We start from the raw sequence: 22707 nt of genomic DNA, 5'->3' as shown, positions 1-22707 counted from the left end.
TCACACCATTGCACTCCGGCCTGGTGACAGAGCGAGACTCTGTCTTAAAAAAAAAAAAAAAAAGCGCAGTGCACACAATCCCAATCTCTCCTGAAACCCCTCCCCTCACCCAGTGGTTGCTCAGTCTGTGGCTCCCTGTGTGGCACAACTCAGCATGTGTTAGGCTATGTTGTATGCGCCCCTTTAAGGATCCACCCCCTCTCCCACTCACTGGGCGTCCTCAGAGGCAGGAGTCATTTCATCTTATTCATGCTTGAATTTATAGGACCCAACATATACATTGGAGATGGGGTGGAGAAGTCACAGCTCTTGCTCTTTGAGATGTCCCCACTCCTCAGGAGCAGAGAAGGGGCTGTGTGTACTGGGTGGGGGGAACCAAAAGAGCCAAAGCTCCTGGTGGGGAGGGGGTGCGGGGACAGAGCTAAGCCTGCTGCCCACCCACCTGCCACCTCCAACTTCCAACCCGTAGCTTCCACCACCCCCACCACCAGAAATCTCATACTGTGTTTGCCATAAAGCCTTTAATTTTATCTCAGGGACTGCACTCCGGGTCCAGGCTGGGGTTGTAGTGCCTGTCAGGCTGGCTGCCGGTGGGTTCTGTCCTTGGGGGCCTCTGAGGAGAGTGCTCCATTCTCACCCCCATTGACCTGTGGCTCCTTCAAGACACAGATAGAGGCCCCTGACTCTGCAGCTCCCACCCCCATGCCCAAGGAAACCACTGACAATGTGGCTTCAAACCCTGCTTCAGTGCCGGCTTGCTGTGTGATCCTGGGCAAAGTGACTCTTCTCGAGTCTCACTTTCCTTATTGTCAAGTGGGCTTCATAATCGCTGCTCTGTACCAGGTTATTCTAAGGCATGGGGTGACCAGCGTGGTGGTGCCAGCCCCTAATGAGGGACTTGGTGTGTGGCCGCTCAGATGGTTGCAGAGTCCCAGACTGGTTCTGCTGCTTGTTCGCTCCTGCGTCCTTAAAGAAGGCCCTTCCCCTCAGGTCCTTAGTTTCCTCATTGAGAAGTAGGAATGACAACCCTGGCCTTGCCTTCCTCTGGGCTCTCTGCCTGTCCTGGGGGAGGCCCTCCAGAGCCCAGAGTGCTGGTGTGGGCGCCCCTTCCCGCAGCAGCATGGCAGAGTCAGTTCTTGACCTGACGGGGAGACTCACCTGGGTTTCCTGGGGGTGCCCTCTCTGTCCACCTTTCCTGCCTCAGACAGCAGCTGCTCCTCATCCAGCCCCAGTGCTGACAGCACCTGGGAGAAGCGCCGAGTGACGGTGAGCCGGGCATTGGCCTGAGGAGAGAGAAGACGGCTTCCTGCTCTGCACCAGGGCTGCCGAGGGCAAGGTGGGGATCGGGTTACTGAGGGGGTCCCAGGGATTCCAGAGGGCAGCAGCCCTGGGATCCTATCTGCAGGGACCTACTCGCATCCTGCTTCCCTACCCACTCAGCCAGCTCTTCACAGGGGGCAGCTATGTGCTTGCCCAGGTGCCAGCCTCACCTGCATAGCCTGCTGGAACAGGAAGGGCCGGGCCTGCACCCTGTGCTGGATGCCTTGCAGCTCCGCCTGGTACTCAGCAAAGCGCTGTCGCTCCTGGCGCCTGCAGGGGAGACAGGCCTTTGTGCAGCTAACCATGGACACAACTGTTGATCTCCATTCCTGAGCCCGCTTATCTTCACTAAGGACTTGATATTCATGTCCTCACCCTCACCTTTACAAAGCTATTTCATTCCCATTCTTGCCTGGATTCCTTGTGAAGTCAGCCAAGGTGGAAATTATTCACCCAATTTACGGATGGATCGGGAGGGTTGAGGGACTTGTTCAAAGTTGTGCAGCTGGGAAGTGAGGGGCCGAGCCCTGTGCAGCTGGGGCTTGCCCATCCTCCTGTGCCAGCCCCATGGGAAAGGGGCCAGTGCTGGCTTCTGAGCTTCCAGACACGTGCTTACATAGCTTCCCCTCCCCATCCTCTTTCCCTTGAGGGGGAGCTGTGGTTGTTGGTTGTGTGACTTTGGGTGAGGCCTCTCTCTGGGCTCTTGGCTCTGGGCTCAGTTTATTTCACTGTGCTATAGTAGGGATCGGACAAGCTTGCCAGCATTCTCTGTGGTTCTTGTAAGCAGACAGCTTGGAAAATGGGACAGAGAAACTAAAAAAAAATATGTTTCAAATTTAAAAAACACACCCCTGAGAGATCAGGGTTCCACTGGGGAAGCACAATTTTCATTTATAAAAACCCAATTTGGCCAGGCGTGGTGGCTCGCACCTGTAATCCCAGCACTTTGGAAGGCCAAGGAGGGTGGATCACTTGAGCCCAAGAGTTTGAGACCAGACTGGGCAACATGGTGAAATCCTGTCTCTACAAAAATTAGCCAGACATGGTGGTATGCACCTGTAGTCCTGGGTAGTTGGGAGGCCAAGGTGGGAGGATCGCTTGAGCCTCGGAGGTCTAGGCTACAGTGAGCTGAGATTGTGCCACTGCACTCCAGCCTGGGCAACAGAGCAAGACCCTGTCTCAAAAAACCCAAAACCCAGTTTGTGCACTTGTCAGAAATGTGTCTGTTTGACAAACTTGAGTATCACTGCCACTCATGAAGAGAGCACTCTAGCAGCAAGAGGGACCTTCGAGCCACACCCACATGGGACCAGGCATCCATCTGTGAAGCATGTAAGAGAGGCCTTGAGGTGTGGAGGCAGCACCCATGGACAGGAGGGGAGGGAAGACGCAGACAAGAGGACAGGAGGGGAGGGGAGACACAGACAAGACCCCAAGACCTGTACTGGGACCTCAGCGATTGTGCTGGGCCCGGTGGAAAAACTCAGCCTTGCTGGGCCATGCCACCCTTGCTGTGGCCCTGTGCCAGGGAAGGAACCATCCTTCATTGAGAAAAAGACATGGACTTGAAAACCCATGGCCCGGAACACAAGTTACTGCAAAAACGGCTTTCACCATTTAGGAAGGAATTTATGGCAGTTACAAGGGGAGGTGGGAAATGAGCTGGCAGTCCCTATCTTTTCTGTGATATTGTGTGCACTTTTCCTGCTGGATACTTTATGCTATTTCTGTTAGAAGTGACAGGAGCTGGCCGAGGCGGGCAGATCTCGAGGTCAGGAGATCGAGACCATCCTGGCCAACATGGTGAAACCCTGTCTCTACTAAAAATACAAAAGTTAGCTGGGAGTGGTGGCGTGCGCCTGTAATCCCAGCTACTTGGGAGGCTGAGGCAGGAGAATCGTCTGAACTGGGGAGTTGGAGGTTATGGTGAGGCGAGATTGCACCACTGTACTCCAGCCTGGCGACAGAGCGAGACTTTGTCTCAAAAAAACAATGACAGGAGCCCTGAGCAGAAAGGGAAGTGGTGCCTATGGGTGTCAGCCCCGTCCATCATCTCAGAATGGAAGGAGACACATCCCTCCCTCCCACAGGACAACCTCTTTTGTGCCTGCCCTTCCTAGGCAGGACAGAGTCTCCTGTTCCGCTCAGACAGCGAAGTTCATAGGCTGTAATGGCTGAGAGACTGCATGGGAGATACCTACTTATGCCTTAGCCCTCTCAAATAGAAAGTAAAAGGAGTGAGGTTGAATCACTCTTTTTGCTGCACCTGCCACTTGGAGTTCTGAACCTTACACTTCCTGCCTCACTGTGAAAACAAAACACTTGGCTGGGCGCGGTGGCTCACGCCTGTAATCCCAAAACTCTGGGAGGCCGAGGCAGCCAGATCACTTGAGGTCAGGAGTCTGAGACAGCTGGGGCAATATGGTGAAACCCTGTCTCTACCAAAAATACAAAAAAATTAGCCAGGTGTGGTGGCGCGCACCTGTGGTCCCAGCTACTCAGGTTGCTGAGGCAGGAGAATTGCTTGAGCCCGGGAGATGGAGGTTTCAGTGAACTGAGATCACACCACTGCACTCCAGCCTGGGCAACAGAGCAAGATTGGGAAGGAGAAAGGATCCCCCTAAACATTGGCCCAAGCAGTCCCCCAAAACACACTTGACCTTTCAGAGCCTCTGTTTCCAAATCTGTAAAATTGGGGTGATTAAGACTGAGCCTCGGCCGGGCGCGGTGGCTCACGCCTGTAATCCTAGCACTTTGGGAGGCTGAGGCGGGCGGATCAGCTGAGGTCGGGAGTTCAAGACCAGCCTGACCAACATGGAGAAACCCTGTCTGTACTAAAAATACAAAATTAGCCGGGCGTGGAGGCGCATGCCTGTAATCCCAGCTACTCGGAAGGCTGAGGCAGGAGAATTGCTTGAACCCGGGAGGCAGAGGTTGCGGTGAGCCGAGATCGCGCCATTGCACTCCAGCTTGGGCAACAAGAGCGAAACTCTGTCTCAAAAAAAAAAAAAAAAAAAGACTGAGCCTCAAAGAGTAGGTGATAAGAACCCCGCTGAGCCGTCAGTGGCCTTAAGGCAGGGCAGGACCCTCACCCCACTTGCCACGGACCAAAGGAGACAGGGTGCAGAAAAAGATGCCCTGCGCCCGCTGCACCCAGGAGGTGCTCAAATCAATGGCACTGGTTTTGGTCATATTTATTTGATTTATTTGTGTTACATGTGTCATTGGTTTGGGCTCTTGGGGGAAGGTCCTGGTGCCTTTCGTCTAAAAGCGGAGGATTTGAGTGCTCAGGCAGGGCAGCATCGTGGCTGGAACCCAATTCTGCTGCCCATGCATGACCTTTGACAAATTATTGAAGATCTCTGAGCCTCAGGTTCCTCACCGGTGGGGTTATGCAGGTGGAGATACCAAGGTAGGATAGTAAGGTGAGCGGGCCGTACTGACTTTTCCCCTTGTATGAAGCCCCAGGGGCTCCTTTCGCAGGAGCTCTGCAGCCCCTGTGCCCTCGTGCATCAGCACCTAACTCTTTTTTTTTTTTTTGAAACGGAGTCTTTCTCTGTCACCCAGGCTGGAGTGCAATGGTGCAGTCTCGGCTCACTGCAACCTCCGCCTCCCGGGTTCAAGTGATTCTCCCGCCTCAGCCTCCCAAGTAGCTGGGACTACAGTCGCGCGCCACTACGCCCAGCTAATTTTTGTATATATATTTTTTAGTATAGACGGGGTTTCATTACGTTGGCCAGGCTGGTCTCGAAATCCTGACCTCAGGTGATCCACTTACCTCGGCTTCCCAAAGTGTTGGGATTACAGGTGTGAGCCACGGCGTACAGCCGAGTACCTAACTCTTTTGCAAGATAAGCAGTCTTAGGGGATACCAGATGGCTACAAGTTCCCTCATACCTAGCACAGCCCAGGAAAAAAAAAACAAAAGCCCCTTATTCATAATGTAGCTTCCCCGATCTCCAGCCAATCAGCACCAAAAGCCCAAGAAGCTATTAGCTACAAATTCCTGCCTTGGAGGGAGCTAAGGACTTCTCGGGGTTCCGCATACACAGCTAGGCTCAAGGTTTAGCTTATAGCAACATTTTCCTCGTTTTGATGGTAAAAAAACACACCCCTAGGTAGAGATTGTATATGCTAATGTTACATGTGATGCGTGTTGGAGCATGCAGATGCTGAGCGCATGCGCCCACCACAGGTCCACCTTTGCATACCTGACCTCACCAGTATTTTGTGACTAGGTATAAACAACTTCCATAAAAGGAATTCCTCTTAAGGCACAAGCTGCCGTCTCTCCCTCTGAGCAGTCCTCAGGGTGGGCTTTTTTTTTTTTTTTTGAGATGGAGTTTTTGCTCTGTCGCCCAGGCTGGAGTGTAGTGGCTCAATTTCGGCTCACTGCAACCTCCATCTCCCGGGTTCAAGCAATTCTCCTGCCTCAGCCTCCCGAATAGCTAGGATTACAGGTATGTGCCACCGCACCTGGCTACTTTTTGTATTTTTAGTAGAGATGAGGTTTCACCATGTTGGTCAGGGTGGCCTTTGCTTTGCAATAAACTTTTTCTTTTGTGCGGCCAAGGGAAGAACCTGACCTGGCCCACCAGCAGCAATACTCCCTGCTTCACGGACCTGTTAGGAGTCCAAAAACGTTTGCCCACAAATCTGCTTATTAGGAAAATGGTCACGGCCAGGTGCAGTGTCTCACACCTGTAATCCCAGCACTTTGGGAGGCTGAGGCGGGTGGATCACGAGGTCAGGAGATCGAGACTATCCTGGCTAACACGGTGAAACCCCGTCTCTACTAAAAATACAAAAAAAAAAAAAAATTAGCCGGGCGTGGTGGCGGGCGCCTGTAGTCTCAGCTACTCGGGAGACTGAGGCAGGAGAATGGCGTGAAGCTGGGAGGCGGAGATTGCAGTGAGCCGAGATCGCGCCACTGCACTCCAGCCTGGGCGACAGAGCGAGACTCCGTCTCAAAAAAAAAAAAAAAGGAAAATGGTCACAATATAGGAAGAGAACAAAACGCGACTCTTCAGCTGACTGTGAACAATGGTTGTCTCCCAGAGTGGGGTCACACGGCTGTTCACCTTCTCCAGGCATTATTTCTGTAATCTTTGAAATTTTATAACAAGCATGTCTGGCATTGGAAATCAGAAAATGAAGATTTGAAAGTGTGATCATACATGTAGAATATTTTAACCTTGACCATTCAACAGCTGCAGAGATTGTCATTATTAACTGGGTGGCCTTCGACAGACCCCTTCTCCCCATGCCTCAGCGTCCTTATCTGGAAACGCGGTGAAGTGGCCTGGTTAGCCCCAGGGAAGGCGAGGGCTGGTGCTCCTCGGTCCTGTAGACTGAGACCTGACACGGCCTCCCTGCCCTCTCCCAACCAGGCCTCCCGAAGCCCAGGCTCCCTACCTCAGCTCCTCCAGCTTGCGCTGGGCCGCCCCAGGGCCCCGGCTCCCTCTGGGTGCGTAGGCTGCCAGGCAGTGGGCCACCTGCCGCTGTACATGCTGTGTCCGGGCCCGCCGCAGCTCGGCCTGCTGCCGCTCCTCCTGCCGCTGCCGCTCCCAGGCCTGCAGCAGGCTCCTTGGGTGAGAAAGGGAAGGGGAATGAGAGGTTCACGGGCAGCAGGAGCCTCACGGAGGGCCAGGGGCTGGATAAGGGAATATGGAAGCCTGTGGGGAGGGGCTGCAGTGTCCAGAGCCAGTGTCCTGGGAGTAGGGTTTGTCATGGAAGTCCATGACAGAGACTGCCCTGGAGGCTCAGCCCTCGGTCCCAGCTCAAGGCCTTTCCCTACTCTTTCTAGAAGTCTCCTGCTTCCAGGCCAGGCACGGTGGTTCATGCCTGTAATCCCAGCACTTTGGGAGGTGGAGGCAGGCGGATCACCTGAGGTCAGGAGTTTGAGACCAGCTTGGTCATCATGGTGAAACCCTGTTTCTACTAAAAATGCCAAAATTAGCCAGGCGTGGTGGCATATGCCTGTAATCCCAGCCACTCAGTAGGCTGAGGTGGGAGAATTGTTTGAACCAGGGAAGCAGAGGTTGTAGTGAGCCGAGACCACGCCATTGTACTCCAGCCTGGGCAACAAGAGCAAAACTCCATCTCAAAAAAAAAAAAAAAAAGAAAGAAAGAAAAAAGAAATGAAGGGTGCTTTGGAAGAATTAATATTGTTAAAATGTCCATATTATCCAAAGCAATTTACAGATTCAATGCAAGCCTATCAAAATTCCAATGACATTTTTCACAGAAATAGAAAAAACAATTTTAAATTAATATAGAACCACAAAATACTCCAAACAGCAAAAGCAATCTTGAGCCAAAAAAAAAGGCCAGGCATGGTGGCTCACACCTGTAACCCCAGCACTTTGGGGCTGATGCAGGTGGATCGCTTGAGCCCAGGAGTTTGAGACCAGCTTGAGCAACATGGTATATATACACAATGGTATATATTGTGTATATATTGTGTATAAAAGGTGGTCTATATATACAATGGCATTCTTCAGCCTTAAACCCCATCTGTACTGAACATACAAAAAATTAGCCAGGCATGGTGGACCAGACCTGTAGTCCTAGCTACTCGGGAGGTTAAGGTGGGAGAATCACCTGAGCCCAGGAAGTCAAGACTGCAGTGAGCCATGATTGAGCCACTGCATTCCAGCCTGGGTGACAGATTGAGACTCTGCCACACACACACAGACACATACACACACACACACCACACACACACACACACACAAAAGAAAGCTTAACGACACTTGTCTGGGCAATGGTTTTTTGGCTATGACCCAGAAAGCACAGGCAACAAAAGCTAAAATAGACAAATGAAGTTGCATCAAACTGAAAAGCTTCTGCACAGCAATGGCAACAATCAACAGAGATGACATACAGAATGGGAGAAAATATTTGCAAACCATACATCTGAAAAGGGGTTAATATCCAAAATATGTGAACTCAAGTAACTCAGTAACAAGAAAGCAAATAACTCAAAAAATGGGCAAAGGCCAGGCGCGACGGCTGTTGCCTGAAATCCCAGCACTTTGGGAGGCCAAGGCGGGCAGATCATTTGAGGTCTGGAGTTCGAGACTAGTCTGGCCAACATGGTGAAACCCTGTCTCTACTAAAAAAATACAAAAAAATTAGGCAGACCTCGTGATGTACGTCTGTAATCCCAGCTACTCAGGAGGCTGAGGCAAGAGAATCACTTGAACCTGGGAGGGGGAGGTTGCAGTGAGCCAAGATTATGCCACTGCACTCCATCCTGGGTGACGAAGTGAGGCTCCATCTCAAAAAAAAAAAAAAGGCAAAGAGTCAGGGCATGGTGACTCACACCTGTAATCTCAACACTTTGGGAGGTGGAGGCAGCAGGATCACCTGAAGCCAGGGGTTGAGACCAGCCTGGGCCACATAGCAAGACACCTATCTCTACAAATAAAAAGTTAAAAAATAAATCAGCTGGATGTGGTGGCATGCACCTGTAATCCCAGCTACTCAGGAGGCTGAGGTGAGAGGGTCACTTGTGCCCAGGAATTCAAAGCTGCAGTGAGCTATGATCGTGGCACTGCACTCTAGCCTGGGCGACAGAGCGAGACTCCATCTCAAAATAATAATAATAATAATAATAATAATAATAATAAAATAAGCAAATAACCCAAATAGACATTTCTCAAAAAAAGACATACAAATGTCTTTTTCATCACTAATCACTAATCATCTGGGAAATGCAAAATAAAATGATAATAAGATATCACCTCACGCCTGTTAGAATGACTATTACCAAAATGATGAAAGATAAGGGTTGGTGATGATGTGGAGAAAAGGGAATCTCTGTTTACTGTTGGTGGGAATATAAATTAGTACAGTCATTATAGAAAACAATATCAAGGTTCCCCAAAAAATTACAAGTAGAACTACTATGTGATCCAGCAACCCACTTCTGGGTACATATTCAAAGGAAATGAAATTAGTATGTTGAAGAGGTAGCTGTACTCCTATGTTCATTGCAGGAATATTCACAGTAGCAAAGATATGAGATCAACCTAAGATTCCATCAACAGAAGAATGGATAAAGAAAAGGTGGTATATATACACAATGGCATTCTTCAGCCTTAAAAAGAAGAAAATCCCATCATTTGCAACAACATGCATAAACCTGGAGGACACTATGTTAAGTGAAATAAGCCAGGCACAGGAAAACAAATACCATATAATCTCCCTTATGTGCCAAATCTTAAAAAAGTCAAACTCAGCATAATGGGACCCCATCTCTACCAAAATTTTAAAAATTAGCCAGCAGCCAGGTGTGGTGGCTCACGCCTGTAATCCCAGCACCTTGGGAGGCTGAGGCGGGTGGATCACGAGGTCAGGATAGCGAGACCATCCTGGCTAACACAGTGAAACCCCATCTCTACTAAAAATACAAAAACTTAGCTGGGTGTGGTGGCGGGTGCCTGTAGTCCCAGCTACTCAGGAGGCTGAGGCAGGAGAATGGCGTGAACCCGGGAGGCGGAGCTTGCAGTGAGCTGAGATCGCGCCACTGCACTCCAGCCTGGGCAACAGTGAGACAAGACTCCATCTCAGAAAAAAAAAAAAAAATTAGCCAGGCATGGTGGCTCATGACTGCAGTCCTAGAGCTCAGGAGGCTGAAGTGGGAGGATCACTTGAGCCCTGGAAGTCAAGGATGCAGTGAGCCATGATTGTGCCACTGCACTGCAGCCTGGGCAACACAGCAAGACCCTGTCTCTAAATAAATAAATAAATAAATAAAGTCAAACTCATAGAAGCAGAGAGTAGAATGGTGGTTACCAAGTCCTCACTGGGTTTGTGGGGAGAAGAAGGGAGATGTTGGTCAAAGGATAAGAAATTTCAGTTAGAGAGGAGAAATAAGTTCAAGAGATCTATTGTATGATCTGGTGTCTGTAGTTAAAAGCAATGTATTGTATACTTAAAAATCAATAAAAGAGTAGATTTTAAGTGTTCTCACTACAAAAAAAAAAATCAAGTAAGACCGGGAGTGGTGGCTCACGCCTGTGATCCCCGCACTTTGGGAGGCTGAGGCGGGCAGATCATGAGGTCTGGAGTTCGAAACCAGCCTGGCCAATATGGTGAAACCCCATCTCTATTAAAAATACAAAAATTAGCCAGGTGTGGTGGCAGGCACCGGTAATCCCAGCCATTTGGGATGCTGAGGCATGAGAATTGCTTGAACCCTGGAGACGGAGGTTGCAGTGAACTGAGATCACACCACAGCACTCCAGCCTGGGAACAGAGCAAGACTCTGTCTCAAAAAAAAAAAAAAAAAAAAACCGAGGTAATGCATATGTTAATTAGTTTGATTTAGACCTTCAACAATATAAACATATTTCAAAACCTCATGTTGTACACCATAAATACAATTTTTATTTATCAATTACATAAAATAAATTTTAAAAAAAGAATTGTGGCTGGGCGCAGTGGCTCATGCCTATAATCCCAGCACTTTGGGAGGCCGAGGCGGGCAGATCACGAGGTCAGGAGTTCAAGACCAGCCTGGCCAACATAGTAAAACCCCGTCTGTACTAAAAATACAAAAATTAGCCAGGCGTGGTGGTGGGCTCCTGTAGTCCCAGCTACTTGGGAGGCTGAGGCAGGAGAATCACTTGAACCTGGGAGTCGGAGGTTGCAGTGAGCCAAGACTGTGCCACTGCACTCCAGCCTGGGCAACAGAGTGAGACTCCATCTCAAAAAAAAAAAAAATTGTGGGGTGCTATAAGAATGCTGAATGAACTCTCCCCTGCCCTCACATGCCTCCTGTCACCAGTCACCATGGCCTATTGAACCAGCCTCTAAGTGTCTCTTAAATGGATCCCCTCCCTCCATCCACAGGGCCTCTTGGTTCCTCACCTCAGTGTTGCCAACAGTCTCCTCACAGCCTCCAGTCTCCCCTTCAGCTCCCACTGTCTCCTTTGCTTTAGAAACAGAGGCTCGCTCTGTTGTCCAGACTAAAATTCAGTGATGTCATCATGGCTCACTGCAGCCTTGATCTCCTGGGCTCAAGAGATCCTCCTGACTCAGCCTCTGGAGTAGCTGGGGCTACAGACACTTTCCACCAAGCCAGGCTAATCTTTTTTTTTTCCTTTGTAGAGACAGGGGTCTAGCTATGTTGACCAGGCTGGGTTTTTTGTTCGTTTGTTTGTTCGTTTGAGACAGAGTCTCACTCTGTCACCCAGGCTGGAGTGCAGTGCTGCAATCTCAGCTCACTGCAACCTCCGCCTCCCAGGTTCAAGTGATTCTCATGTCTCAGCCTCCTGAGTAGCTGGGACTCCAGGCACACACCACCATACTTGGATAATTTTTTATATTTTCAGTAGAGACAGGGTTTCGCCATGTTGCCCAGGCTGGTCTCGAACTCTTGAGCTCAGACAATCCACACGCCTTGGCCTCCCAAAGTGCTAGGATTATAGGCGTGAGCCACCACGCCCGGCCCCTTAACTTCTTTTTTAGAGACAGTGTCTCACTCTGTTGCCCATGCTGAATGCAATGGTGGGATCATAGCTCACTGCAGTCTTGATCTCCTGAACTCAAGAGATCCTCCTACCTCAGCCTCCTGAGTAGCTGGGACTACAAGCACGTGTCACCATGCCCAGCTAATTCCAAGTCTTTTAATAGTTATATCCTAAGGGCCCATGAGTAGATAATAAACGTTGCATTAATCACTTAGTTAATAATTTAATGGATGGATGGAACAAAAGATGGGAAATAAAAGTGGTTGTATCAATAGATAATTGGCCAGGTATTGAGAGAGATGGATGAATGGTTGAGTGGATGTTATCAGTAGTTGGATAGATGGATGGATGGGTGGATGGATGGATGGATGGATGGATGGATGGATGGATGGATGATCCAAAAGTTTGGTGAATGGATAAATAAAGAAATGAATGAGAGTTCAAATGCCTAAGCATCTCTTGGAGAAGTGGCTCCATCTCTACTTCTCATTCTGGGCTCCCACTCCCTTCTCTTCCCTCTTACCTGGTGGCTTCCTGTCGTTTGTGGAAGGTGCGATTAGGGAGGTTGGCAGACACGAAAGTTTCATCGTATCCCGAGGCATAGGCCTTTCCATTCCGCTTGGAGGCCTGGAAGGCAGCCCTCAAAGTCTTCCAGGGCAGCTTTTGGGGGCCTGCCCACAGTGGGACCAAGTCAGGGGCTGCCCTCTCCCTCTCAGCCCACCAGGCAACGCCCCCCAGCACCCAGAGCACAGCCCAGCCTGCCTGAGCCCCTGCCTCCCTGACTGCTCCCTGTTCCCTGCGGTGTAGCTTCGGGGGAATCCAGGCTCTGAGCCCCACGCTCACCACAGTCCAGGTCTCTCTGTAGCTGCCTGTGCAGCTTCTCCAGGTCCCATGGCCCCTGCAGCTCCTTGGCCCTTGTCTTCCTCCATTGTCGCCTTCGGAGGTTGTTGAAGCTGGGGCTGCTCCCCTGGCTCTGGCCCTGCACTTCTCCCTCATCGGAGGCTTCCTCTCCAGAAATCTGCCCCTTTCTCTGACAACCAGCCCTCCTTCTGCAGGGAGTCCTGTGCTCTCCCTCCTCAGCCTCCTCTGTGGCCTCTGAAAATTGCTCCTCCTCTGAGATCGACCCCCTCCTGGGGCGCTGGGGCAGCACCCCAGAACTCAGACCCCTCTCGGCCTCCTCAGCACCCAGGCTTTGCAGCTGGACCTGCTTGTCGGACGCCGATCCTGATCCTGGCCTCCTCCCAGGCAGCTGGAGACCACTGGGGGGCTCTGATCCTAGCTCCCCTTTGCCAGTAGGGATGGAGACACCGCCCCAGGCTCCCAGCTGCTGTCTCGCCTTCAGGTTTTGCGCCTCTGTCTTCCAGCAGCAGCCATGGGCCTCTGGGAGGTTGGCCGTGGACTTGCGCCTGGACTGACGCTGGGAGAACGAGGAGGGCATGGGCAGGGCTTGGTGGCCAGGGGTTGGGGAGCTTGGCTGAAGCACAGCCCGGACATCTGTGGCGATGCTCTCCCAGGCCCACTGGAAGGGGAAGGAGGGTTTCCGAGGAAGAAGCGGGAAGTGACTGAAGAAGGAAAGGGTGGGGGTCAGGGTCGGCGCCAGCCCCCAGAGGGCCCTGACCCCCAACAGCCTCCTGACCCATCCCACTGCTGCTTACTCTTCAGACTCTTCAGAGCCCTGTCCTTTCTTGCTCTGGCCCCTGGGCTTGCGGTCCTTCTTTGCTGTCTGCCTTGAGCTCTGAGACCTCTGCTGCAGGTCTTGATTTGGCACACCATCACCACTCCCCAGGCAGCCCTGGGCAGAGACAGTAGGGGAGGAGCAGCCAGCTTGAGCAGCCTCCTGGACTGTGTTGCACCTCACCCGGGTGCTCCCTCTGTGCACCTGGCTGGGCCTGGCTGGGTCCCTCTGGGCCCTCGTTACCATAAAAACCAACCAAACAGGGCTGGATGTGGTGCTCACACCTGTAACCCCAGCACTTTGGGAGGCCAAGGGGGGCGGATCACCTGAGGCCAGGAGTTCGAGACCAGCCTGGCCAACATGGCGAAACCCCATCTGTACTAAAAATACAAAAAAAATTAGCCGAGTGTGGTGGCCTGCGCCTGTAATCCTAGCTACTTGGGAGGCTGAGGCAGGACAATCGCTTGAACCTAGGAGTTGGAGGCTGCAGTGAGCCGAGATTGTGTCATTGCACTCCAGCCTGGGCAACAAGAGTGAAACTCCATCTCAAAAAAACAAACAAACAAAAAAACCCGACCGAGCACCACCTCCGTTCTGCATATTAAAATAGCAACAGCTGCCACCTGCTGAGCACCTATTGTGTGCTCAGGACTTTCATGCATAAACACACGTAACCTTCCCAAGGACCCTAGGAGGCCGGTACTCACTATCACCTCCATCATGTGGAGGAGAAAGCTGAGGCTCAGAGAGGCTGAGTAACTGAGGTCACACAGCTGGGAAGTGGTGGAGCCCAGATTTGTCACCATTGCGCTAGGCCACCTCTGGGCCCTGGACTGCACTCCCAAATGTCCCACTGGGCCCTGGACCTGCTACAGCCAAGGCAGAAACCAAGGTGGTCTTCATCAAGGTGGTCTTCATCTTTCCTGAAACCTGCTCCTTCCGCAGTGTTCCCTGAATGGCCCCATCATCCCTGGGAGTCACTCCTGGGCGTCATCCCTCGGCTTCTCCCAAGGCCCTTAGGCCTCCCTGTGGTCCCTGTCCCACTCCTGCCTCCCTGAGTTTCATCTGGACCTCAGCTCAGGTCTTGTGGCTTCTCAAGGGCCTCCCCAGCCCAGGCCTCCCTGACCCACCTGGCTCTAGGCAGCTGGAAGTGTCCTCACTGGGCCTCCCTCACCTGCTTGTCCTGAGAGACGGTCGACAGCAGCTTGAGCAGCCCCGTTCTGGTTCCTGGAGCCTGGAGCCGCACGTCCTGCCCTGGTCGCACCGACGGGGTCCTAACCAACTGTTGGTAGGTATTTAGCATATCGGTGTCCTGCCCCATCCTGCCCCATCCCCCATCCGCACCGTAGAACTGCCTAACAGGCCATCTCTATGGCAACCAGTCCTCAGCCAGTCTCAATGGGTCTGGCAAAAAGCATGCTAGGAAGGGGTCAGTGGGGTATGTGAGGCCAATCTCCTTCTGGGAGAGAGTTCAGCAGGATGCCCAGGAGTCATTTAGCGCAGAGACCCAGGCCCAAGTCCTGCCTCTGCCTCATCCACAGGCTCCCCGTGTGACCTGGTGTAAGTCCCCTGTCCCTACTCTGCCTGTGTTTCCCCATCCATCTGTACAGGGGAGTCAGCCTGTCTCCTGTGCTGCCCCCCGGCCTGGCCGAGTCCCTGAAGGAGCCAAACTGAACTTTCACAAGATTTTATTTAAATCCTTGCACTCCCAGGCTGGGAGTGGTGGCTCACACCTGTAATCCCAGCACTTTGGGGGGCTGAGGCAGGTGGATCACTGGAGGTCAAGAGTTCAAGACCAGCCTGGCCAAAATGGCAAAACCCCATCTCTACCAAAAATGCAAAAAAGATTAGCCAGGCCTGGTGGCGCATGCCTGTAATCCCAGCTACTCAGGCTGAGGCACGAGAATCACTTGAACCCGGGAGGCAGAGGCTGCATCGACCCCAGATTGCACCACTGCACTCCAGCCAGGGCGACAGAGTGAGACTCTGTCTCAATAAAAAAGAAACAAATAAACAAATCTTTGCACTCCCAGCCCCAGCCAGGAAGTTGAATGCTGTGTCCAGGAGAGAGGCAGCAGGCCATTCAGAGCCTGGGCCCAGGCCCACCTGGCCATCTTCATAGGCCATGAGGTTCTGGAGGGAGTTACAACATTGAAAGCTTACCCCAGGCCGGGCAGTGGCTGTAATTCCAGCACTTTGGGAGGCCGAGGTGGGCGGATTGCCTGAGGTCAGGAGTTGGAGACCAGCCTGGCCAACATGGTGAAACCCCATCTCCCACCTGGATTGAAACTCTATCTCTACTAAAAATACAAAAATTAGCCGGGCATGGTGGTGGGCACCTGTAATCCCAGCTACTCGGGAGGCTGAGGCTCTCCCTCTCCGGGTTCTCTTGAACCCGGGAGGTGGAGGTTGCAGTGAGCCGAGGCCACACCAGTGTACTCCAGCCTGGGCGAAAGAGTGAGACTCCATCTCAAAAAAATATATTTTTTTAATATAAAAAAAGTAAAAGATCTTACCCCAAACTTCTAGCAGTGCTCAAAAGCCTTGGAATCTTAAGTCCCCATGGGACGCCTGGTGCTGACCACTGAGGCTTGCAGTACAGGGATGTGGTGCTGAGCTGAGGCCCTGGAGACGGACCAACTGGGCTGGAGGCCTGGTCTCACTAGCTCTGTGACCAACTCCCCACTCTGCAAAACTGGAATCACGGGCCCAGCTCATAGGTTTGTTGCAAGGACTACATGAAACCCCAAACGATGACATCGGTAAATGTTATTATTACTAACACTAGCTGGCCGTTCTTTTGAGGCAGCAGAGCATCATGGCTAAGAGCATAGAGGAAGCGCTTGGGTGCAAATCCCAGCTCCTCCACTTGTCCCGTACCCTCTCGGTGCCTGTTTTCTCATAGGCAATGGGGAGGGGATGGTTATAATCGGATCTACTCCCAGGGTAGTGGTAAGGATTAAATCACTATGCAGATACAAACAGAACATCCTCATGGCTCATGGGAACTGCTATGTTAGCATTGCTGTTATTCTTATTATCTTTTTTTTTTCTTTTTGTGATGGAGTCTTGCTCTGTTGCCCAGGCTGGAGTGCAGTGATGTGATCTCGGCTCACTGCAACCTCTGCCTCCTGGGTTCAAGCGATTCTCCCACCTCAGCCTCCCGGGTAACTAGGATTACAGGCATGTGCCACCATGCCCGGCTAATTTTTTGTATTTTTAGTAGAGAGAGGGTTTCACCATGTTGGCCAGGCTGGTCTTGAACTCCTGACCTCAAGTGATCCACCCACCTTGGCCTCCCAAAGTGCTGGGATTACAGGTGTGAGCCACTGCACCGGGCCGTGTTGCTGTTATTAATTAATCAATGATGTGGCCCCAGGGAAGCAGACTATCCTGGAAGATGCCATAGAGGCAGGATTTTTCTCAGACTGTGGCCCTGTGGCTCCTCTTCTGCTCTCAGACTCCATCCCAGTGGCACCTCACAATGAGCACATCCAATGTAAATATCCTAAATAGTGCTGCTCCGGGTGAAGCTCTTTTGCCACCCAAAATATGCAAACTCTTTTCTTTCTAGGGGGCTGCCATCCTTCTCCCACACCTGGGGCCCAGTGGAAGGCACATGTAGGCAGCTTCACTTTCAGAAACGGAGCCCCTTCCAGACCTCAACCCCAGGTGATTTCCTGGACAGTCCAGAACTCTGGGCCACTTTCTTCCTTGGCAGAGGGCAGGTCTGGGTTTCTCAGGTTGATATTCTCATGAGGTGCATACAGACCTCTTTCCTTTACCACACTCCCTCCCTAAGTGAGCTCATCCAGTCTGATGGCCTTAAAAGCCACCTGCTGCTTGCTTTCTGAGACAGAGTCTCACTCTGTCACCCCGGCTGGAGTGCAGTAGTGCCATTACAGCTCACTGCAGCCTCAACCTCCCAGGCTCAAGTGATCCTCCCACCTCAGCCACCCGAGTAGCTGGGACTACAGGTACGCGCCACTATGCCCGGCTAATTTTTATATTTTTTGGTAGAGATGGGGTTTTGCCATGTTGTCCAGGCTGGTCTTGAACTCCTGGCCTGCCTCGGCCTCCCAAAGCATTGGGATTACAGGCATGAGCCACTGCGCCAGGCCAGCACCTGCTGTTTTCCACCCGTCCCCAGGTTTACGTATCTCAGCCTGACCTCTCCCATACTTAAATATCCAGTGGCCCATCTGACATCCCCACTTGGATAAATAAGCATTTCAACTTGACATGCTGAAGGTCAGACTACTGGCCTGCCTCATCCCAGTCAGGGGCATGTCTGAGATTCCTGTTGCTCAGGTCAACGCCCTGGCATGATCCTTGACTCTTTCGTTTGACTCACATTCTGCCCCTAATGCCTTAGCAAACCCTACCAGCTCCACCTTTGAAATACATGCAGAATCCAGCACTTCTCCAAACCAACACCCTCTCTCTTCTGGATCATTTCAGTAACGCTTAATCTCCGGCTTTTGCTTATTTATTTATTTTTTATTGACATGGGAGCTCACTATATTTCCCAGGCTGGCCTCGAACTCCTGGCCTCAAGCCATCCACCTGCCTCAGCCTCCCAAAGTGCTGGGATTATGGGCGTGAGCCACCACACCCAACCTCCCGGTTTTTGCTTTTGTCCTGATACCATTCTCTACTCAGCAACCAGTGTGATTCTGTGAAGAATAGAGCCCAGCTGGACGCAGTGGCTCACACCTGTAATCCCAGCACTTTAGGAGGCTGAGGCAGGCGGATGGCTTGAGGCCAGGAGTTCGAGGCCAGCCTGAGCAACATGGCAAACCCCTTCTCTACAAAAAATAATACTAAAATTAGCCAGGTGTGGTGGAGTATGCCTGTGATCTCAGCTACTAGAGAAGTTAAGGTAGGAGGACCACTTGAGCCCAGGAGGCAGAATGAGCCCTGATTGCACCACTGCACTCCAGCCTGGGTAACAGAGCAAGACCTTAACTAAAAAAAAAAAACAAAAAAAAAAAAACAGAGTCCATCACGCCTGTGATGGGTCCTGGGTCTCGCTGAGTAAAAGGCAAAGTCCTTACTGGCCCACTAGGTCCTGCATGTTTCACAGGTGTTTGCTCACAAGTGCCACCATGATCCCTTCTCACTCCGATCCAACCACACTCTCCCTTCGGTACGCCAGCCAGTCTGCCCTAAGGCCCTTTGCACCGACTGTTTCTTCTTCCTGAAATGCTCTCTCCCCAGAATCCACATGGCTTACTCCTTCAGGACCTCTAGGTTTCTGCTAAAATGACACCTGCCAAAGAAGCCCTCCCTGCCCAGATCCCCTAAGTCCCTAATAGGCACCACCATTTGCTCTGCTTCTCTTATCACCGCTTCACACACATTCATTCATTTGCTGATTGCCTGCTCAGCGATGTGGCTCCGGCCGTCCTCCCACTCTCTCCTGCATCAGCAATGTCTCATCTCTCTGGCATCATTTCCATCAGCACTACTGTTCCTTCTTTCTTGACTCACTTCCCCTTCTTCAACACTGCCCCATTTCTGTGTTCCCTTTGCAGCAAAGCCTTCTGAAAGAGTTTTCACTGGGCAAGGTCAATTTCCCCCTTGCCTTTCTTTCTTGAACCCACTCCAGGCAGGCTGTCACCCCCACCACCCTGTGAGCCTGCACCTGCCAAAATCACCGATGCCTTCCCTCCCACTAACATGAGGTCAGTGGCCAGCTCTTCCCCAGCTCCTCTGCCAGTTCCTCCTCCTCTTGCAGGAGAGGGACAGCTGCCCCGTCTGTCTTCTTTGTCCACAGCTACTCTGTTGCCCAGGCTGGAGTGCAGTGGTGAGATCTTGACTCACCACAACTTCCGCCTCCCAGGTTCAAGTGATTCTCCTGCCTCAACCTCCGAAGTAGCTGGGACTACAGGCGCAAACCACCATGCCTGGCTAATTTTTGTATTTTTAGTAGAGACGGGGTTTCGCTATGTTGGCCAGGCTGGTCTCGAACTCCTAACCTCGTGATCCGCCCGCCTCGGCCTCCAAAGTGCTGAGATTACAGGCATGAGCCACCACGCCCGGCCACAGCTCCTCTTTTACTGGACTCACCAGGACCATGGTTTTGTGTTTTTGGGTTTTTGGTTGTTTTTTTTTTTTTTTGAGACAAGGTCTCACTCTGTCACCTAGACTGACTGGAGTGCAGTTGCGTGATCATGGCTCACTGCAGCCTCGACCTCCTGGGCTCAAGTGACACTCCCGCCTCAGCCTCCTGAGCAGCTGGAACTAAAGGTGTGCACCACCATGCCCAGCTGATTTTTTGTATTTTTTGTAGAGACAACGTCTAGCCATGTTGCACAGGCTGGTCTTGAACCCCTGGGCTCAAGAGATCTTCCTGCTTCAGACTCCCAAAGTGCTGGGATTACAGGCATGACAGGCTCATTTTAAATAAAATCTATCAGACAATGAACCCCACTTTTATCTGTAGTCCAGACATCTCCCTCAAGCTCAGAAGGTGAGTCCTGCCTCCCAAACTCGAATGACCCAGTCCACTGCTCCATCTAGGTGTCTAACAGGCATCTCACATTCAACAACTCTGAAACTGACTCCCTGACCCTCCCCACAGCCCTCTCCATCTTGGCCTAGTGACTATGCTATCCTTCTAGTTTCTCGAACCAAAAGCCTAGGCTTTTCTCTCTCTGAAATGCTATGTCCTATCCAACAGTTGTTCCTGATTTCAAAGTGCATTCAGAATCTGAACGCTTACCACCAGCTATTTGGAGCATTCTCAACATCCGTTGTCTTCTACATAGACTTTCTGCTTCTTCATGGTCAATTCCCAACCCAGCAGCCTGGGCCATTTTTTTTTTTTTTGAGATGGAGTCTCTTGTTCTGTCGTCCAGGCTGGAGTGCAGTGGCGCAATCTCGGCTCACTGCAAGCTCCGCCTCCTGGGTTGACGCCATTCTCCTGCCTCAGCCTCCCGAGTAGCTGGGACTACAGGCGCCCGCCACCATGCCCGGCTAATTTTTTGTATTTTTAGTAGAGGCGGGGTTTCACTGTGTTAGCCAGGATGGTCTCGATCTCCTGACCTCATGATCCACCCGCCTCTGCCTCCCAAAGTGCTGGGATTACAGGCGTAAGCCACCGAGCCCGGCCAGCTTGGGCCATTTTTTAAAGACTTCTGCTTAAAACCTGCAATGGGAGCCTGGAGTAGTGGCTCACGCCTGTAATCCCAGCACTTTGAGAGTCTGAGGCAGGAGGATGGCTTGAGCACCGGAGTTTGAGACCAGCCCAAGCAACATGGATAAACCCTGTCTCTACTTAAAATACAAAAAAATTAGCCGGGCATGGAGGTGCATGCCTGTAGTCCCAGCTACTCGGGAGGCTGAGATGGGAGAATTGCTTGAACCCAGGGGGTGGAGGCTGCAGTGAGCCAAGATCACACCACTGCACTCCAGCCTGGGCAACAGAATGAGACTGTCTCAAAAAATAAAATAAAATAAAATAAAATAAAATGAAATACAATACAATAAAATAATAAATACATGTACAGATAGAAAACATCTTTATTGGTTCTTCAGATAATAGAAGTAATATATGCACACTGTCAAAAATTTAAATATGACCAGGTGCAGTGGCTCACAGCTGTAATCCCAGCACTTTGGGAGGCTGAGGCAGGTGGATCACCTGAGGTCAGGAGTTCGAGACCAGCCTGGTCAACATGATGAAACCCCGTCTCAGCTAAAAATACAAAAAAATTACCAGGGTGTGGTGGCAGGCGCCTGTAATCCCAGCTACTTTGGGAGGCTCAGGCAGGAGAATCGCTTGAATCAGGGAGGCAGAGGTTGCAGTGAGCCGAGATCGTACCACTGCACTCCAGCCTGGGCAACAAGAGTAAAACTCTGTCTAAAAAAAAATTAAATCTGTGCAGTAGAACTGCTGTTAACTTTTGGGTGTGTATTTGGCCCGTGTTTTTCCCCTGTGAGCACAAACAAATGTGGAACTGACACCCTGAGCAAGGCGGGGTGCAGCATTCGGACAGAGACAGCTGCATCCTTTTCCACCCACCCACTCCCCCTTGGGCCAAGCCGTTCCCAGGCCTGGATAAGACGTGAGCAGGCACTATGACTTCTCAAGTCACCTCAGGTAGTGAAAAGTCCTCTGATCACTAAGAACAGCCTCAGAAATTGAAATTGAAATGTCTAGTCTGGGCCGGGCGCGGTGGCTCACGCCTGTAATCCCAGCACTTTGGGAGGCTGAGGTGGGTGGATCACTTGAGGTCAGGAGTGTCCTGTCCTCACTGCAAGGGGGCCTGGCACCTGATTAGCAATGCAGGGCCCTGGGGCTATTGCTTTGTCCTTGGCCTCCGATGCAAAACCAAGACCTGAGCCAGTGTACCATTTGAATATCTTGTGATTTTAGAGATAGACGTGTGTGTGTGTGTGTGTGTGTGTGTGTGTGTGTGTGTGTATACAAACCTACATATACATATTTTTCAACAAAAATGAGATCATCCTGGTTTTGCCTACTAGAATGTTATATTCTTTCCATGTCAGGACATACAGAGCCACCCAGTCTTTACCATCATCACTGTTTGGCTGTCTGACCCACCTAATGTACATCACCTGTGTCCTTTTGTCAAACACCGGGACTGCTTCCGCTTGCGTCCTCACTCCAGACACTGCAGCTGCGGACATCCCTGGAAATGTGTCTTGAGATTTCTGCAAGGTAATGTTCTATAAGCAAACTAGCTAGCTCTAAGCCATTTAGATCTTGATGGTGCCTAATTATTCCCCCTAAAGGCTCAATCATTATAGATTTCCATCAACAGTATTTATACCCTCACCAGCAATTATAATTTTCACTTTGCTAATCTGATAGATGAAAAGCTATTATTGCATTGTTGCAATAACTTGTATTCTCTTCTCTTTCATGAAAGGGCCAGATATGCAAGGCAGCTCCCGAATGCTGAAGGAGCAGAGAAACCAAAGAACAAGGCAGACAAATCCAGTTTGCTGGTACAGGGTGATTTATTTGGGTGACCTTACAGACAAGCTTGGTCTTGGGCAGCCACGAGACAAACAGATCTCCGTGCCTGTCATCCTAGAGCCAAGGCTTATGTACCATAGGGAAAGGGTATGAGTGTTCTGTGCAAGACAATTAAAGGCAGCCCTCCAGAACAGGCAAGAATCTGCATACGTTATAGCCTATAATTGGTGTGATAACATCAAGGTGGACATAGTCTTATGCTAAGGGCAGTAAATAGAGTA

General features: G+C 51.1%; 1 protein-coding gene and 1 long non-coding RNA gene across 10 annotated transcripts, besides 2 other annotated features; one reads left to right on the top strand and one right to left on the bottom strand.

The window, feature by feature from the left end:
* Positions 1–506: 506 nt before the first annotated feature.
* TSGA10IP (testis specific 10 interacting protein) lies at positions 507–14993 on the bottom strand. Of its 9 annotated transcripts, none has more exons than NM_001395491.1 (8): positions 14651–14993; positions 13457–13593; positions 12645–13363; positions 12325–12472; positions 6736–6906; positions 1491–1590; positions 1159–1322; positions 507–656 (listed from the first exon to the last, which is right to left on the bottom strand). In NM_001395491.1, the coding sequence occupies exons 1-8, from the start codon at positions 14795–14797 to the stop codon at positions 533–535; spliced, it is 1710 nt and encodes a 569-aa protein (NP_001382420.1). In that variant the 5' UTR covers positions 14798–14993; the 3' UTR covers positions 507–532. The 9 variants fall into 9 exon arrangements, 7 of the variants coding, with proteins under 7 accessions (NP_001382420.1, NP_689975.2, XP_047282662.1 ...); NM_152762.3 differs by having other exon boundaries at positions 1159–1283; XM_047426706.1 differs by having other exon boundaries at positions 1159–1283; positions 14607–14694.
* Positions 14949–22681, top strand: LOC105369350 (uncharacterized). The gene is made up of 3 exons (XR_950212.3): positions 14949–15036; positions 21994–22165; positions 22377–22681. It is a non-coding gene; the product is annotated as an uncharacterized LOC105369350 (long non-coding RNA).
* Positions 18762–18985: a silencer, noted in NCBI's record as "fragment chr11:65708959-65709182 (GRCh37/hg19 assembly coordinates)". NCBI's record gives its function as "represses an EF-1alpha promoter that drives an FKBP-Casp9 reporter gene in an ReSE screen in K562 erythroleukemia cells {active_cell/tissue: K562}" and the evidence as "EXISTENCE:reporter gene assay evidence [ECO:0000049][PMID:32094911]".
* Positions 18956–19455: an enhancer, noted in NCBI's record as "H3K4me1 hESC enhancer chr11:65708489-65708988 (GRCh37/hg19 assembly coordinates)". NCBI's record gives its function as "activates a minimal SCP1, AML or CMV promoter by ChIP-STARR-seq in primed H9 embryonic stem cells {active_cell/tissue: H9 hESC(primed)}" and the evidence as "EXISTENCE:reporter gene assay evidence [ECO:0000049][PMID:30033119]".

This window comes from Homo sapiens, chromosome 11 (assembly GCF_000001405.40).
Source record: "Homo sapiens chromosome 11, GRCh38.p14 Primary Assembly".
NCBI classification, from domain to species: Eukaryota; Metazoa; Chordata; class Mammalia; order Primates; family Hominidae; genus Homo; species Homo sapiens.
This window is presented reverse-complemented; position numbering and strand designations above follow the sequence as displayed.